At 35.7% G+C, this 16,293-nt stretch overlaps 1 protein-coding gene across 10 annotated transcripts in view; it reads right to left on the reverse strand.

Annotated features, from left to right (window-relative positions):
* GFM2 (GTP dependent ribosome recycling factor mitochondrial 2) overlaps positions 1-16,293 on the reverse strand; it is a 45,912-nt gene that overhangs the window by 24,659 nt on the left and 4,960 nt on the right. For all 10 annotated transcript variants that reach the window (NR_104006.2, NM_170691.3, NM_032380.5 and 7 more), the window contains 7 exons: positions 15,038-15,122; positions 13,505-13,562; positions 12,985-13,082; positions 5,504-5,629; positions 4,715-4,803; positions 1,828-1,916; positions 241-301 (listed from right to left, as the gene is read on the reverse strand). Coding sequence is in view for 9 of the 10 variants with exons in the window: in NM_170691.3 (NP_733792.1) it covers positions 241-301; positions 1,828-1,916; positions 4,715-4,803; positions 5,504-5,629; positions 12,985-13,082; positions 13,505-13,562; positions 15,038-15,122 (606 nt within the window). In the remaining variant the exon portion in view is untranslated. The remainder of the gene's footprint in view (positions 1-240; positions 302-1,827; positions 1,917-4,714; positions 4,804-5,503; positions 5,630-12,984; positions 13,083-13,504; positions 13,563-15,037; positions 15,123-16,293) is intronic.

Consider the following 16,293-nt stretch of genomic DNA (forward strand, 5'->3'; position numbering starts at 1 on the left):
TCAGAGTGAGATTAACATTATTACATGATCACTCACTGAAAACTACAATGATGACAAGTCTTTTCTAATTGTACCATTTTCCCCAAAATGTCTATTATCACCATTACTATAATCTGTGGCTATTTCTATTTATACCCCAACTTCTTCAAAAATGATGAGATAGCTTTGGAAATGTATATATTGTCACAAAATAAATTAATGAGGAAACTGAGAAGAAGCTGATGCTATTAACCAATTTACCTGTAAAAGCAAAGGCTTTGCCTTTAACTTCTCTCTGATGCTTTCAACTGCATACTTAAAGCTGTAGAAAGCAAAATAATTATAGTTAAAAACATGGTTAAAAATTCTTTACCAAAGGTATCAAGAGAGGAAAAAAAACTCTTTCAGGTTTTAAGAATGTTTTCTAAAATTTTAACTCACTTTATTCTCCTTAACGCTCACTATTTAACAGTTTTCCATAGGAAAATGTCTGGAATAAACTTTTATGTCAATTTCAGATATCAGTAATTACCCTAATCCAGCCACAGAGCTGTTTAGGGTATTATTATTGTGAGCTTCGCATAACTATACTTTGCAATTAACATTAAATGAATTGATCAAGGTAACAAGGATAATAAAGTGCAGTTGGGATTCCAATGCAAGATTTGTGATAAGCCAAGGATTCTTTCTTCTACAACTAGGTTTACTACCATACAAGGCAACTAGCTTTCTTCCAAGAGCCTGCCTAGTCTTTGGCATTCTTCACATCGTATGCTACGCTATTCATTTCTATGCTAACACTGCAGCTGGCTACCTATAGAACACATGCCATCTTTGGCACACAAGCTGATTTACATGCAGGTCATTCCGGTCCCATTGTTTTTCAGAACCAGCCTATTTTCCAGTCATATCCCTCCCCATTGCCAATGGCACTGCCTGACAATAAATAAGTACTTCCATCTACCACAGGAACTCCAAGCAGAAAAGGGTCAGAACTTGAGGCTAGTACATTTTAAAGGTTGCTGGGCTATTAATAATCAAGACAAGGTTCTTTAAACAAACAGCCTCAGAATTACTATAGAGAGGGAGATAAACACAAAGCATATTAATTACTGTGTAGTTTTAGGGGAGGTATAGTTTATGTTTCATTTTTGCCATTCTCCCATCACAGGCCACAATCTCTCCCTATCACATTTGTTCTAGAATTTTTAATATTCTTGATTCTCTCCCTTTCACATTTTCTCCAAATCTTTCAAATATTCTTGATTATCTGAATTATATTCCCAGGACAATGCATCCACCACTCTGTAAGTCTCTGACCATGACCAATACATCTCAGCATTAACTCTCTTCTGCCCCTACATGCAGGTCTTACAGCATCTACATTCTCTTCTTCCAGTTCTTTATTGACAGTATCTTACCCAGTAGCTAAGAAAATCAGAGAATATGGAAGAACACCTTCAAATGCAGGAAACAGTTCTCTATTCTCTATCTTTAGCGATGATGGGAAGCGCCATACCTTCAGCAATATAGGGACTATACCTGTGTTCTAAAGAGAATCAATGGAATCATCAAGAAGCCACTTTGATCTCAGAAATATGATTCAGTCTCTCTATACTAGAAACAGGATGATTCACCATCTATCAGCTATTACTCCCAAATTGTTATATAACCTATGGATTAGCTGCTTTGAATTTTTTTATGGGAATAAACTGGGATTCCATGGAATATTTATACCCTATAATACAATAGGAAAAAAAATAGCTATTCCTAAATTTAAGTTATAGTTCATTAAAAGCTCAAATTGTAGTTTCACCCTGATAAGCCAATGAAACACATTTCAAATACCTTGCTCCAGTTTTGTCCATCTTGTTTAAAAAACAGATTCGAGGTATATTGTGTTTATCAGCTTGCCTCCATACTGTGAGAGTCTGGGCCTAAAGCAAAGATGAGGAAAAAAATACATACTGAACAAAAGTAACTATGTTACTAGACCTGGAATGAAGAGATCCAAAAATCTACTGTCAGATAAATTGGGCCCTATTCTAGCAGAGAATTAGTGCAACTGCACTTATATTTTTAGGGTCACTCTTTAGCTATCAAGTTAACACAGCCGGGAACGTGATGAAGTGTGAAGGGGAGTGTGCTTCAAACCACTTGAGAATACTCTGGGTGAACTAGGTGGCCACACAAAGAGAATTAACACCTCAGGAGGTACTGAGAATCATGGAAAGTGAACTTAACTGAGAATCAGGAGACCTACTTCTTGTTTGGCTTCACTTTTCCTAGTAAATGTCATATGACACTGAACTCATTTAATGTCAGGTTTCTGATCTATGAAATAGGAATTTTGCCTTAATTATTTCAGACACTTATTTTGAGGTAAAAGAAATATAGGAGTGTACTATAAAGCAGCCAGTTTATTTTTTAGGTAAAATTTATATACAATAAAGTACAGATATTAAGTGTATAGCTCAATGCGTTTTGATAAAAGTACGTTTGTGTAACTACTACCCCACTTAGAACATAGAACATTCTGTTACTCCTGAAATTTTTCTCATCCCTGTCTCCTATAAGCAACCTGTCTTGATTTCTGTCACCATAGCTTCAGTGTCTTATTCTTGAACCTCATACAAAATAGCATGGCTTCTTTGGCTCAACATGTTTTTAACATTCATCCACATTGTTAGGTATTTCCGTTCTTTTTAATTATACATACGTACCAGTTGGCTTTCCTATCCACCAGTGCGGTGGCTCACGCCTGTAATCCCAGCACTGTGGGAGGCTGAGGCAGGTGGATCACTTGAGGTCAGAAGTTCAAGACCAGCCTGGCCAACATGGTGAAACTCTGTCTCTACTAAAAATACAAAAATTAGCCAGGCGTGGTGGTGCACGCCTGTAGTCCCAGATACTCGGGAAGCTGAGGCACAAGGATCGCTTGAACCCGGGAGACAGAGGTTACAGTGAGCCAAGATTGCACCACTGCATTCCAGCCTGGGCGACAGAGTGAGACTCCTGTCTCAAAATAAAATAAAATAAAATAAAATAAATAAAATAAAATAAAATAAAAAAATAAAAAAAAATAAAAAAAATAAAAAATAAAATAAAATAAAATAAAATAAAGAAACTTCCAAATAGTCTTCCAAAGTAGTTGCATTATTTTGCAGTCTTTTTAATTTTTTTTGAGACAGGGTCTCACTCTGTTGCCCAGGCTGGAATGCAGTGGTGCAATCAAGGCTCACTGCAGCCCCAACCTCCCTGCTGGGCTCAAGCAATTCTCCCATCTCAGCCTCTGGAGTAGCTGGGATGACAAGTGCACGCCACCACACCCAGCTAATTTTTTTTGTATTTTATAAAGATGGGGTTTCGCCATGTTGCTCAGGCTGGTCTCTAATTCCTGGGCTCAAGCGAACCCACCTGCCTCAGCCTCCCAAAGTGCTGGGATTACAGGTGTGAGCCACCATGCCTGGCCTCTATTTTGCAGTCTTATCAACAATGTGTAAGATTTCTAGTTGCTCCACATCCTCACCAACATTTGCTATCACTCTTTTTAATTATAAGCATTCTTTTGGGTGTGAAATTGAATCTGTGATTTTAATTTGCATTTTCCTGAGGACTAATGAGATTATACATCTTTTCATGTGCTTACTATTCATTCACATGTGTTCTTTTGTGAAGTGTCCATTCAAGTTTTTTGTCCATTTTCTTCTGGGTTATTATTGATTTATGGTTCTTCATATAGTCTGGATACAAATCCATGGTTATAGATACGTACTATAAATACTTCAGTATTTATTTCCCAAGAACAATCATATTCTCTTATATAACCAATACTATTATTGCATTCAGGAAATTTAATATTTGTATAATATGTTTATCTAACATTACAAGTATCTTCTCATAGTCTATTCCTTGTGTTTTTAATTTTTTTGTTTTAATGAACAGCTGTAGTTTTGATAAAGTTCCAGGAATCAACTTTTGTTATTTATGTTTCATGCTTCTTATGTCCTCTAAGAAATTTTTACCTACCCCAAGGCTGTAAAGATATTTTTCTTCTAGAAGCTATGTATACATAACTTAACACTGTGATCCACTCCAAATTAATTTTTGTGTATGATGAGGTATGTGTGTGAGGCGTGGAGGGTGAATATCATAAATTTTCAAAGAACAAAAACATATTGCAAATCAAAACAAAAAACTCCCACCATTCCACCTGCCAGCTAAAAGCTCATTCATTGTTTAAAACAAGTGCCTTCTCCTTCATGAATTCAGCAACTTCCTATTCAAGCACATTTCAATCTTGTAAGTAATGCAATCTGTTTGAATGATTAAACGTCAAATTTATCTAAAGTTACAACAACAGAAAAATGGAACTATTAGGAAATAAAGTGACCCAGAAAGAAACAGAAATAACAGTGTATAATCAATCTCACACCACAGTGTCTTCTGCCAGAATCCATTAAACTATGGCAGGCTAACTTGTTAGCTCAAAAGTAAGGTAGAATCTCTGATCTCTCAAAGTTCTTGACACCAGCTTTCCTATTTCTCCTTTTACTATGAAATATCTGAGATTACATGTAGATTACATCTCAATATAAATTCTGATTTCCTTTTACCATTATTTGATTTATGTGAACTTACCAAATAGATGGTTACAGTTAACTAAATTTGACATATTCTACTTTTTAAAAAATCATGCTGTTCTAATTCCCTTTACTTTGGCAATATTATTTACCTCTACACCAGCAGAGGCATCAAATACAGCCACTGCACCATCCAACACTCTTAGGCACCGCTCAACCTCCAAGGTAAAGTCCACATGACCTAAGAAAAAGATAAGACGTATAATGCCTTCTTTTTAACAAAACCATCATATGATCCAGCAATCTCACATCTCACTCCTGGGGAGGGGTGTGTGTGTATATATATGTGTATATATATAAAGGTATTGAAAGCAGAGTCTCAGAGCTATTTGCACACCCTCCATAGCAGCACTGGTAGACAAAAGGTGGAAAAAACCCAAATGTCCACTGATGTATGAATGGATAAACAAAATGTGATATACACATACAATGGAATACTACACAGAATAAAAAAGAAAATATTGTAGCACATTGTCACATGCTACAATATGAGAAAATTTGAGGGCTTTATGCTAATGAGATAAGCCAATCACAAGAGGACAAATACGGTATGATTCCACTTACATAAGGCATCTAAGCTAGTCAAATACATAGGTATACAAAGTACACAGTGGTTAGCAGGGGTGAAGGGAGGGGGCAAAAGGGAATTGTTGTCCAATGAATATAGTTTCATTTCTGCAAGATAAAAAAGTTCTGGACATCTGTTTCACAGCAATGTGATTATACTTAACACTACTAAACTGTACACTTAAAAATGGTTGAGATGGTAAATTTTGCAACACATGTTTTTTTACCACAATAAAAAGCAAAACAAAAACCCCAGAAAAACAAAAAAACTCCAAATGACGCAGCATCTCTGTGTTACTGGAATCGTACCATACCTGGTGTATCAATTAGATTGACTCTATAACCTTTCCAATCAAATGTAACAGCAGCTGATTGAATAGTAATGCCTCTTTCTCGCTCTTGGGCCATGAAATCTGTCACTGTGTCTCCATCATCAACATCTAGCCAGGAAAAAGATGATACAGTTTAGTCTTAATAGCAAGTGTATTTTATTCGTGCTCAATATCTACCTGACACAGTTTAACCTGCCTTAAGAAAAATCTTTCCTAAAATATTTGGTTTAATAGAGCCTTTACTCTTTCACTAAGTAAATCCTCATGGTAGAAAAAGTTTTTCAGCTAGATTAGTAACTTTGCCATAAAAGGAATTTTTCATCAAGATGAAAATCTTTTAAGTTTACTGAACTTATTTTACTTACTTACTTCTTTTATTTCTTACATAGCTTAACTATCATTACCCCCTTTTTATCTGATGTCCCTCCCTCCTGATCCCTTGATAGGAGGCCGAGTGGTACAGTGAAAGAACACAGACAGACATAGCTTTAAATCCCAACTTTACCACTTAGCACTCTATGATCTTGAGGCAAACTACTTAACCTAGTTTGTAAAATAAGGCTAGTAAAGCCATCCTTGCTGGGTTGTTATTATAAGGATGAAAGGAGACAATATATATAAAGTACCTAGTCTAGTAGATGATAAATGATAGCCACACGGAATGAGGTAGAGAAAAAAATTCATCCAATATTAAATTATCCTTTACAAACCCATCTCATTACTAAATTTTCCAAAGAGAAGGGATTTAGTTGTACAAGTGCAAGTAGTCTCATACAACTTCTACAGTATAAAGTCACAAAAAAACTATCCTGAACTTTATCCAAAAAGTTCACTGAAATTATTGTGCAGTAAAATTCTGTAGTTGAATTAAGCATATTATTCTAATTAAATTTATAGACAGTAAAAGAAATAAACAGTTGGTCTTTACCATTATCATGGCCTTATACTACCATTTATTTCAGCATTAAACCCCTAAAATGGTAGCTAGTTGCCCCATATATGTGTATGTGTATGTGCATATGTATAAATATGTATACACACACATAGTCTAAACACCAGAGGAGGAAATAGCAAGAAAAATGTATTTGACAGCAACTCAAATATAACTCTATGTTAATATCTATAATTGTATTAGTGTCAGTTATTCCCAACATCACTGCCAAAGAAAATAGTATCATTAAGGATACAGACCAAATAACTAACTATAAGTTCTAAATGAGACAGTAAGTTTTAAAAACACTTACACAGTAGTAAGCATTTTCACAATTATAAAGATCTTTATTTCACATTATCTTTATGATTATTCATATGACTAATAAAGTCAACCTTGGATCAGCAAGTTCTACAACAACCTGGATAGTTTTTAGGCTATGGTCTGAACTAGAAAAGAACTTCAAAAGATAGCCGTACAAAAACACATGGACAATCACTGCAGTTTTGCACTCAGAAAGCCCCATCCTTAGGGGAAGGAGGAGAGCCCCACATCAAGGGAGCACCCCGTGAAACAAAAGAATCTGAACAGTAGCCCTTAAGTGCCAGATCTTCACTCTGACATGGTCTACCCAAATGAGAAGGAACCAGAAAAACAATTCTGGTAACATAACAAAACAAGGTTCTTTAATCCCCCCCACCAAAAATCACACTAGCTCACCAGCAATGAATCCAAACCAAGACAAAATCTAAATTGCCAGAAAAAAGAGTTCAGAAGGTCAATTATTAAGCTACTCAAGGAGGCACCAGAGAAAGGTGAATACCAACTTAAAAAAACTGTTTAAATATTACAGGATATGAACGGAAAAATCTCCAGAGAAACAGCCAGCATAAATAAACAATCACAACTTCTGGAAATGAAGGACACACTTAGACAAATGCAAAATACACTGGAAAGTCTCAGCAATAGAATTAAGTAAGTAGAAGAAACAACTTCAAAGGCCAGGTGTGGTGGCTCACACCTGTAATCCCAGCACTTTGGGAGGCTGAGGCAGGCAGATCACTTGCGGTCAGGAGTTCAAGACCAGCATGGCCAACATGGTGAAACCTTGTCTCTACAAAAATACAAAAATTAGTCAAGCATGATGGTGTGTGTCTATAATCCCAGCTACTCAAGAGGCTGAGGTGGGAGAATTGCTTGAACCTGGGAGGTGGAGGTTGCAGTGAGCCGAGATTGTACCACTGCACCTTAGCCTGGGTGACAGAGCAAGACTCCATCTCAAAAAGAGAAGAAACAACTTCAGAGTTCAAAGACAAGGCTTTTGAATTAACCCAACCTGACAAACACAAAGAAAAAAGAATTTTAAAAAAATGAACAAAGCCTCTAAGAAGTTTGGGATTATGTGAAATGAGCAAACCTAAGAATAACTGGCATTCCCAAGAAAGAAGAGAAATCTAAAAGTCTGGAAAATGTTTTTAAGGAAATAATCAAGGAAAACTTCCCTGGCCTTGCTAGAGATCTAGACATCCAAATACCAGAAGCTCAAAGAACACCTGGGAAATTCATCACAAAAAGATCATCGTTTAGGCACAGAGTCATCAGGTTATCTAAAGTCAAGACAGGAAACAATTTTAAGAGTGTGGGGAAAAAACATCAGGTAACCTATAAATAAAAACCTATCAGATTAACAGCAGACTTCTTAGCAGAAACCCTACCAGCTAGTAGGAATTTGGGTCCTACTTTAGCCTCCTTAAACAAAACAATTATCAACCAAGAATTTTGTATCCAGAGAAACTAAGCTTCATAAATGAAGGAAAGATATAGTCTTTTTCAGACAATCAAATGCTGAGAGAACTCACCACTAGCAAGCCAGCACTACAAGAACTACTAAAAGCAGCTCTAAATCCTGAAACAAATCCTCAAAATACACCAAAATAGAACCTCCTTAAAGCATAAATCTCACAGGACCTATAAAACAATAATACAATGAAAAAAAAAAAAAAAACAAGGTATTCAGGCAATAGATAGTGACAATAGTACCTCACATCTGAATACTAACATTGAATGGAAATGACCTAAATGTTCCACTTAAAAGATAAAGAATGGTAGAATGGATAAGAGTTCACCAAGTACCTGCTGTCTTCAAGAGACTCACCTAACACATAAAGACTCAAATAAACTTAAGGTAAAGGGGGGAAAAAGATACCCCATGCTAACGGACACCAAAAGTGAGCAGGAATAACTGTTCTTATATCAGACAAAACAATCTTTAAAGAAGCAGCAGTTAAAAAAGACAAAGAGGGATATTATACAATGATAAAAAGACTAGTCGAACAGGAAAATATCGCAATCCTAAATATATATGCACATAACATTGCAGCTCCCAAATTTATAAAATAATTACTACTAGACCTAAGAAATGAGATAGCAACACAATAATAGTGGGGGACTTTAATACTCTACTGACAGCACTAGACAGGTCATCAAGACAAAAGGTCAACAAAGAAACAATGGACTGGCCAGGCGCAGTGGCTCATGCATGTCATCCCAGCACTTTGGAAGGCTGAGGCAGGCGGATTACCTGAGGTCAGGAGTTCAAGACCAGCCTGGCCAACATAAAAATACAAAAATTAGCCGGGCATGATGGTGGGCACCTATAATCCCAGCTACTTGGGAGGCTGAGGTAGGGGAATTGCTTGAACCCGGGAGGTGGAGGTTGCAATGAGCCAAGATTGCACCATTTCACTCCAGGCTAGACGACACAGCCAGACTCCATCTCAAAAAAGAGACAATGGATTTAAACTATATCCTAGAACAAAAAGACTTAATAAATATTTACAGAACATTCTTCCCAAAAACTGAAGAATATATATTCTATACATCAGCATGTAGAACATTCTCCCAGATAGACCACAAGACAGGCTACAAAACAAGTCTCAATAAAGTTAAGAAAATCAAAATTATATCAAGTACTCTCTCATATCATAGTGGAATAAAACTGGAAATCAACTCCAAAAGGAACCCTCAAAATCATGCAAATACATGGAAATTAAATAACCTGCTCCTGAAAGATCATTGGGTCAACAATGATATCAAGATGGAAATTTAAAAAGTGAAACAAAAAGCTGGTTCTTTGAAAAGATAAATAAAATTGATAGACCATTAGTAAGATTAACCAAGAACAGAAAATATCCAAATAAGCTCAATTAGAAACAAAACAGGAGATACTATAACTGATACCACAGAAATACAAAAGATCACTCAAAGCTACTATGAACACCTTTACGCGCATAAACTAGAAAACCTAGAGGAGATGGATAAATTCCTGGAAATATGCAATCCTCCTAGATTAAACCAGGAAGAAACAGAAACTGAACAGACAAATAACAGTGAGAAGGAAATGGTAATTAACAAGTTGCCAACAAAAAAAGTCTAGGACCAGATGGATTTGCAGCTGAATTCCATCAGACATTCAAAGAATTGGCACCAATTCTATTGATGCTATTCTACAGATAGAGGGAATCCTCCCTAAATCATTCTATGAAGCCAGTATCACCGTAATACCAAAAGCAGGAAAAGACACAACAAAAAAAGGAAAACTACAGACCAATATCCCTAATGAACACAGAAGCAAAAATCCTCAACAAAATACTAGCTAACTGAATCCAACAGCATACCAAAAAGATAATCCACCATGATCAAGTAGGTTTCATACCAGGAATGCAGGGATAGTTTAACATCTGCAAGTCAATAAATGTGATATATCACATAAACAGAATTAAAAACAAAAATCACATGATCATCTCAATAGACTCAGAAAAAGCATTTGACAAAATTCAGCATCCCTCTATGATTAAAACCCTCCTCAAAATTGGCATAGAAGGGACATACCTTAAAGTAATGAAAGCTAACTATGACAAACCCACAGCCAACATTATACATATATGTGTATATACATACATATACACATACATGCACACCACATTTTCTTTGAAAATGCACATCAAAAGCACAATGCAATACCACCTTACTCCTGCAAGAATGGCCACAATCAAAAAATAACAGATGTTGGAGTGGATGTGGAGTGGACATATACACCACATTTTCTTTATCCACTCATTGATTGGCATTTGGGCTGGTTCCATATTTTTGCGAATTGTGATGTTATAAACATGCGTGGTCAAGTATCTTTTTCGTATAATTATTTCTTTTCCTCTGGGTAGATACCAAATAGTGGGATTGCTGGATCAAATGGTAGTTCTACTTTTAGTTTTTAAAGGAATCTCCACATTGTTTTGCACAGTGGTTGTACTAGCTTACATTCCCACTAACAGTGTAAAGTGTGTGTGTATATATATATACACACACATATACACACCATGGAATACTACTCAGTCATAAAAAAGAACGAAATAATGGCATTCGCAGCAACCTGGATGGAACTGGAGACCACTATTCTCGGATGGAATTGGAGGCCAGGATTCTAAGTGTAGTAACTCAGGAATGGAAAACTGACATCATTTGTTCTCACTCATAAGTGGGATCTAAGCTATGAGGATGCAAAGGCATTAGAGTGATACAATGAACTTTGGGGACTCAGGAGAAAGGGCAGGAGGGGAGTGAGGGATAAAAGACTACACATTGGGTACAGTGTACACTACTTGGGTAATGGGTGCACCAAAATCTCAGAAACCACCCCTAAAGAACTTATGTAACCAACCACCTGTTCTCCAAAAGCCTATTGAAATAAAAAATAAAATAAAATAAGCCTTAGGGGAGAAAACTGTTAACCTAGTTGCTTTTTAGAATATAAAGTCTAAGATTATCTTTAATTATAAATATAATAAACCAGTTATGATAAAGACATAAAATTAAGGGCAATCACAGAGCAAATGTGTGTGTATATAAAAGAGAGAGAGAACATTCTATGTGGGTTCTATTTTTATATATTCAGTTTCTTGGCATCATAAGATTGTGTACATGTCTAGTTTACCTTACTATGAGAGCAAGATCTTGATATTCTCTTTTTTAACTGTAAATAAGTTATTGCCATGACTTTTGTAGGTGATTTTTCAGCTTAGTGACTATAATTACTGTAAAGCTTGATTTCCTTCTTGTTATAATAAACTGCATTAGTTTGAAATAAATAAATAAAAACACATGGAATATTATTCAGCCTTATAAAAGGAATCTTCACTTGAGCCCAGTTTGAGACCAGCCTGAGCAACACACTGAGGCCCTGTCTCTACCAAAAATACAAAAGTTAGCCAAGTGTGGTGGCACCTGCCTGTAGTCCCAGCTACTCAGGAAGCTGAGGCAGGAGGATCTCTTGTGCCCAAGAGTTCAAGGCTGCAGTGAGCTGTGACTGGGCCACTGCACTCCAGCCTGGGCAACAGAGCAAGAGCCTATGTCTCTAAAAAAAAAAAAAAAAAAAAAAAAAATTAAAAAATTAAAAAGGAATCTTGACACATGCTACAACATGGATGAACCTTGAGGACACTGTACTATGTGAAATAAACCAGTCATAGAAAGACAAATACTTACGATTCCATTTATATGAGGTACCTAGAGTAGTCAAAGTCATGAAGAAAAAGTAGAAGGATGGTTGCAAGGGACCGGGGAAAGGGGAAAATGGGAGTTGTTTAATGGGTATAGAATTTCAATTTTGAAAGATGAAAATGTTTTGAAGATTGGTTGCACAATAATGTGAATATACTTAACACTACCAAAATAGTTAACACTTAGAAATAGTTAAGATGGTAAATTTTATGTTTTTTTAACTACAATTTAAAAGACAAAAGATAACTTGGTTAAGGATTAACAAAATCCTCTTTGATGTGAGAATTTAACTTCTGGTTACTTTTTTTGGTTCTTTTCTTCTAGAAACCAGATAACAGAGGTATGTCAACTACATTCCTAGGCAATATAACTTATGGAAAAAACAACTTCTGATTGGTAAACTAAATCTGAATTGCGAAGAACTATAAATGAATTATATATATAAGTACCTTATGGAGATACCGAACTCTGGGCTTCCCTGTGTATGGCATGTACCTTAGGTGACACCTGGAAGCTATGCCTATGAAGTTATAACAAGAGACATTCATTCCTATGGGGCATGAATCTTCTAAGCTAGGGTGGCTCCTATGAATCTTGTCACCTTGCATCTAATCCATTACTCTGGAGCAGCCAAAGAAGATAGCTCCCAGATAGCTACGGGGACTGCTATAAGGACTCTACTAGAAAGAAACACCTAATGCTGGTCTGTTGGTAAGCTGTGGTTCCTGTCCTGTAGCATTCTGAGTAGACGAGTGTCCAGTGGGGCCTATGATAGTCTTACAAGTCTGAATATTTAGTTGAATCTAAGAAGACCCTTTGGTGGGTATTGCAACTATCTTATCTTTAAATTGTGGATTAGACATCAGTAGCTCTATGCCATATTCAAGGTGTGTAAGTTGACTTGTTAACCAAAATATTTTCCAATGATGCTTTTGCTAATGGGGGGGTGGGAAGAGGAGGAATCCATTCTAACCTCCCAGTGATCTTGTATATCCGGAATAGTACAATATTCTTTCTGTGGTGGTAGTTTTGCCTGCATCAATATGAGCCATAATTCCAATATTACGGATTCTGTTTAAAAGGAAAAAATAAGGTAAACTTTACTAAAATTGTAAAACCAAAGTATATATGCTATCCAAATTTCAAAGCTGGTATTTCTATAATTTATAAAACTGTGTAAAAACTAGAAAAATGGAAAACATTTAGAGTATATCCACATTACTCTGATAAGATAGCTAAGTAACAAAAGGGCTAACTACAACCTACAATTTTGAGACTATCTTATATTCATTCTAGAAAAGTGTGCTGTTGTTACATTAAAAATTTTTAGCATTAATTGAGAAAAAATAGCTAAGATACATTATCAACATCTACTTAAAATTGGCTAGGGCAGAAAGTCATAGAAATTACAGCATTCACTCTTGTCCATCAGAAAAAACCTGTAAATTTTCGTGACAGTCTATGGAAAAGCATGATATAATGATAGTACTTACTTAGCTATGGGAGGATTGATGATGGAATGAAGGGATTTGATATCATTTCCTATTAAGCCTAATGAAAAGAAAGTTAAAATTGAACTGTTACATTTATGAAATTTTCCTTTAATTTATAAATGAAAGACTTTAAAATAACTTTAAGCAAATACTGTAAGTCCAAATAAAGTAAAATTCAAGCTAAATAAATCTAAAATAAACTAAAATTTATTTCCTTGCAATGTATAAGGAAAGCTATGGATGACAATAAAACAAGGTAAAAGTTTTAAACATCAAGTTCTAGATCATATCCTCAGAAAAATACAGATTCACCCCAATCTCTGCCACCTACTTCACTTCCATTTACAAAATTGTAGAACTAGAATAAATGCTCATAATAATAATCTTAAGGCAATGATCCTGAATCAAAGAAAAAATTTTAAATGCACAGTCCTATAAACCTGCCTTTTCCAGGGTTTGAAGAGCTAAGAGTGATCCTCATGTCAGCTGATAATGAATTATTATACAATTTGGAACTTGCCTTCCTCAGCAATCCCAGGACACAATACCTTTAAAGACTGCCTGGGAGGTTTCACTGAATAGAAGCTATAACAATTTAATACTTTTGAAAGGCCAAGCAGTATTTCTTAAATAAAAAAGTCCATATGGCTTATTCTATGCTTAATATATAGTTTACTAATATTAAGAAGTAATTTCTAAAGAAACAAGGCAGTTACATTTGTAAATTTAATTAAAGCCTTCCTGTTATTTAAACCATTTCTCCCATGTTTCTATAATACAAAAAGGAGAATTTTATATTATTTTTGAAACTTCATGGTGGTTTGAAGATCAAAAGATAATCTATACTACTACAGTTAAATTCATATTAGCCAAATTCAGAGACCTAGATACACACCAATAACGTAGCCCATTAAATTAATCTGCCCTTGTAAGTCAACAGCCAATCAGTATTTTTATTCTATTATTCTCACATGACAAACACAGTAATGAGAACAGCAACAGAATTAAACTAGTTTCATAGAGTCTACCATACACTTGCTTGTTTCAAACACAGAAAGGACATTCAAAAGTAAGTCAACTCCTCCACCTTCCAGCTTCTGATGCCATGTATCTAACCTAAACAATCCCAAATACTTAGCCAAACTACTTATAACAATCCTCAAAATAAATTATTCTAGTAAATCTCTCTTGACAGAAAACACTTGCATAAAAAACAGAAATAAACTAGAAAAAGAAATTCACAAGAGCACTCTACAATTACACTCACATGTTAAACTTGCAAACTAGCTACTAAAGCCACCAACCTTTCCTTTGCTCAGTTCATCAGCGTGTTCCTCAGATAAGGAGCACAACTCTACTAGTATTTCCTTCTGGCACCTATCTGAACACTCCCGCCCCTAATAATCTCAAGGAAATAGCCAAGAAGTAAAAAATGGTTACAGAGCCCTAATAAGGGAGATTCTTGCAAACAAGAGAGAGAAAAGAGATAAAGCAAACAGCTTAGATAAAATTAGAAGACTCTAACATTTGTACCTGGTAGAGAACTGCAATTTCTTCCAAGCGGCACATGTGGCTTTAATCTTTTTAAACTTGCTCTTATTTTATAGCAGCATATATTCTAGTAAAGAGAAAAAGAAACTTGGCATTAATTTTATTTTAGCATCACTTATTACAGTGTTAATATTGTAATTACGCTTTGTCAGAAGATAAAATATTTTGTATAGCTTTAAAGTAGTCCTAATTTATTAACTCCAATTCTTTTAAAAAGTGACAATCCAAATATATCCTAGGGGAAAGAATAAGGATAAAATTAATACTGATTTGCTATTTTGAGCTGACCTTAAAACAATGGTTTTCCTCAACCTGCAGCATTAGCATGGGCTGAGGGCTTGTTTGAAAAACATGCTTAGGCTCCAATCCAGACAAGAGAATCAGAAACTCTTGGGGATGGAGCCAAACAATCTGTTTAAACTAGCTCTCCAGTTGATTCTAATAGCTACAGATTGAGAACCACAACCCTAAAGTTCTGAAAGTCAGAAGCTGAGTCAGAAAGGTTAAATAAGGTATCTCACCCAGGATACACCTTGGTTTTCCTCTACATCTGCTGAAAGGTCTGTAGGGGGCAATGAACTCTAAAACCATTAGTTGTTTTCAGGATTTATTACAGTTACACATTAGAATCATCTGGAAAGCTTCTTGAAGACACGGGGGTGGGGAGAGAAAATGAGAACTGGAGGAACTGGGCAGTGGCATTTAAAAAAAATTCCCAGGGTGTCTCCAATGTAGCATTCAACTGAGAATCACTGAGTTAGAGCAGGTCTGCTTAAGGCCAAGCCTACCTCCTCTACCTTAGCTGCTTACCTAACCTTCTCATGTTCTCATGTAAAGGCTGAATATTCTCCACCTCAGTTTATGCCCAGACCACTAGATATACATTTAATAGCTGCCAATGTAGTTGGAATTGTTAGTGTATGTAATGATTTAGGGCCACCACAATCTGCTTTTTGTTTCATGAACTGCGTATCTGTGCGATCTATATTATTTCTACATTAGTTACCAAGTTTCTGGCAATAATAAGCTACTATCCTCAGAAAATAATTCCACTGCATAATGACTAGGATAAGACCCAGTGTCTATCACAGCGTGCATAGTCTGAAAGCGTCAGCAATAAAAGCACTGAAGAAAAACTGGGTAACTCCTTGGGCCACTTAATGAGATCACAAATGGAATACAGAAATATATCTTCTTCAAAATGCTGCTCAGGTGATTTTTAAAGTAGCAAAAAAAAA

The sequence above is a fragment of the Homo sapiens genome, chromosome 5 (assembly GCF_000001405.40).
Source record: "Homo sapiens chromosome 5, GRCh38.p14 Primary Assembly".
In the NCBI taxonomy this organism is placed as follows: Eukaryota; Metazoa; Chordata; class Mammalia; order Primates; family Hominidae; genus Homo; species Homo sapiens.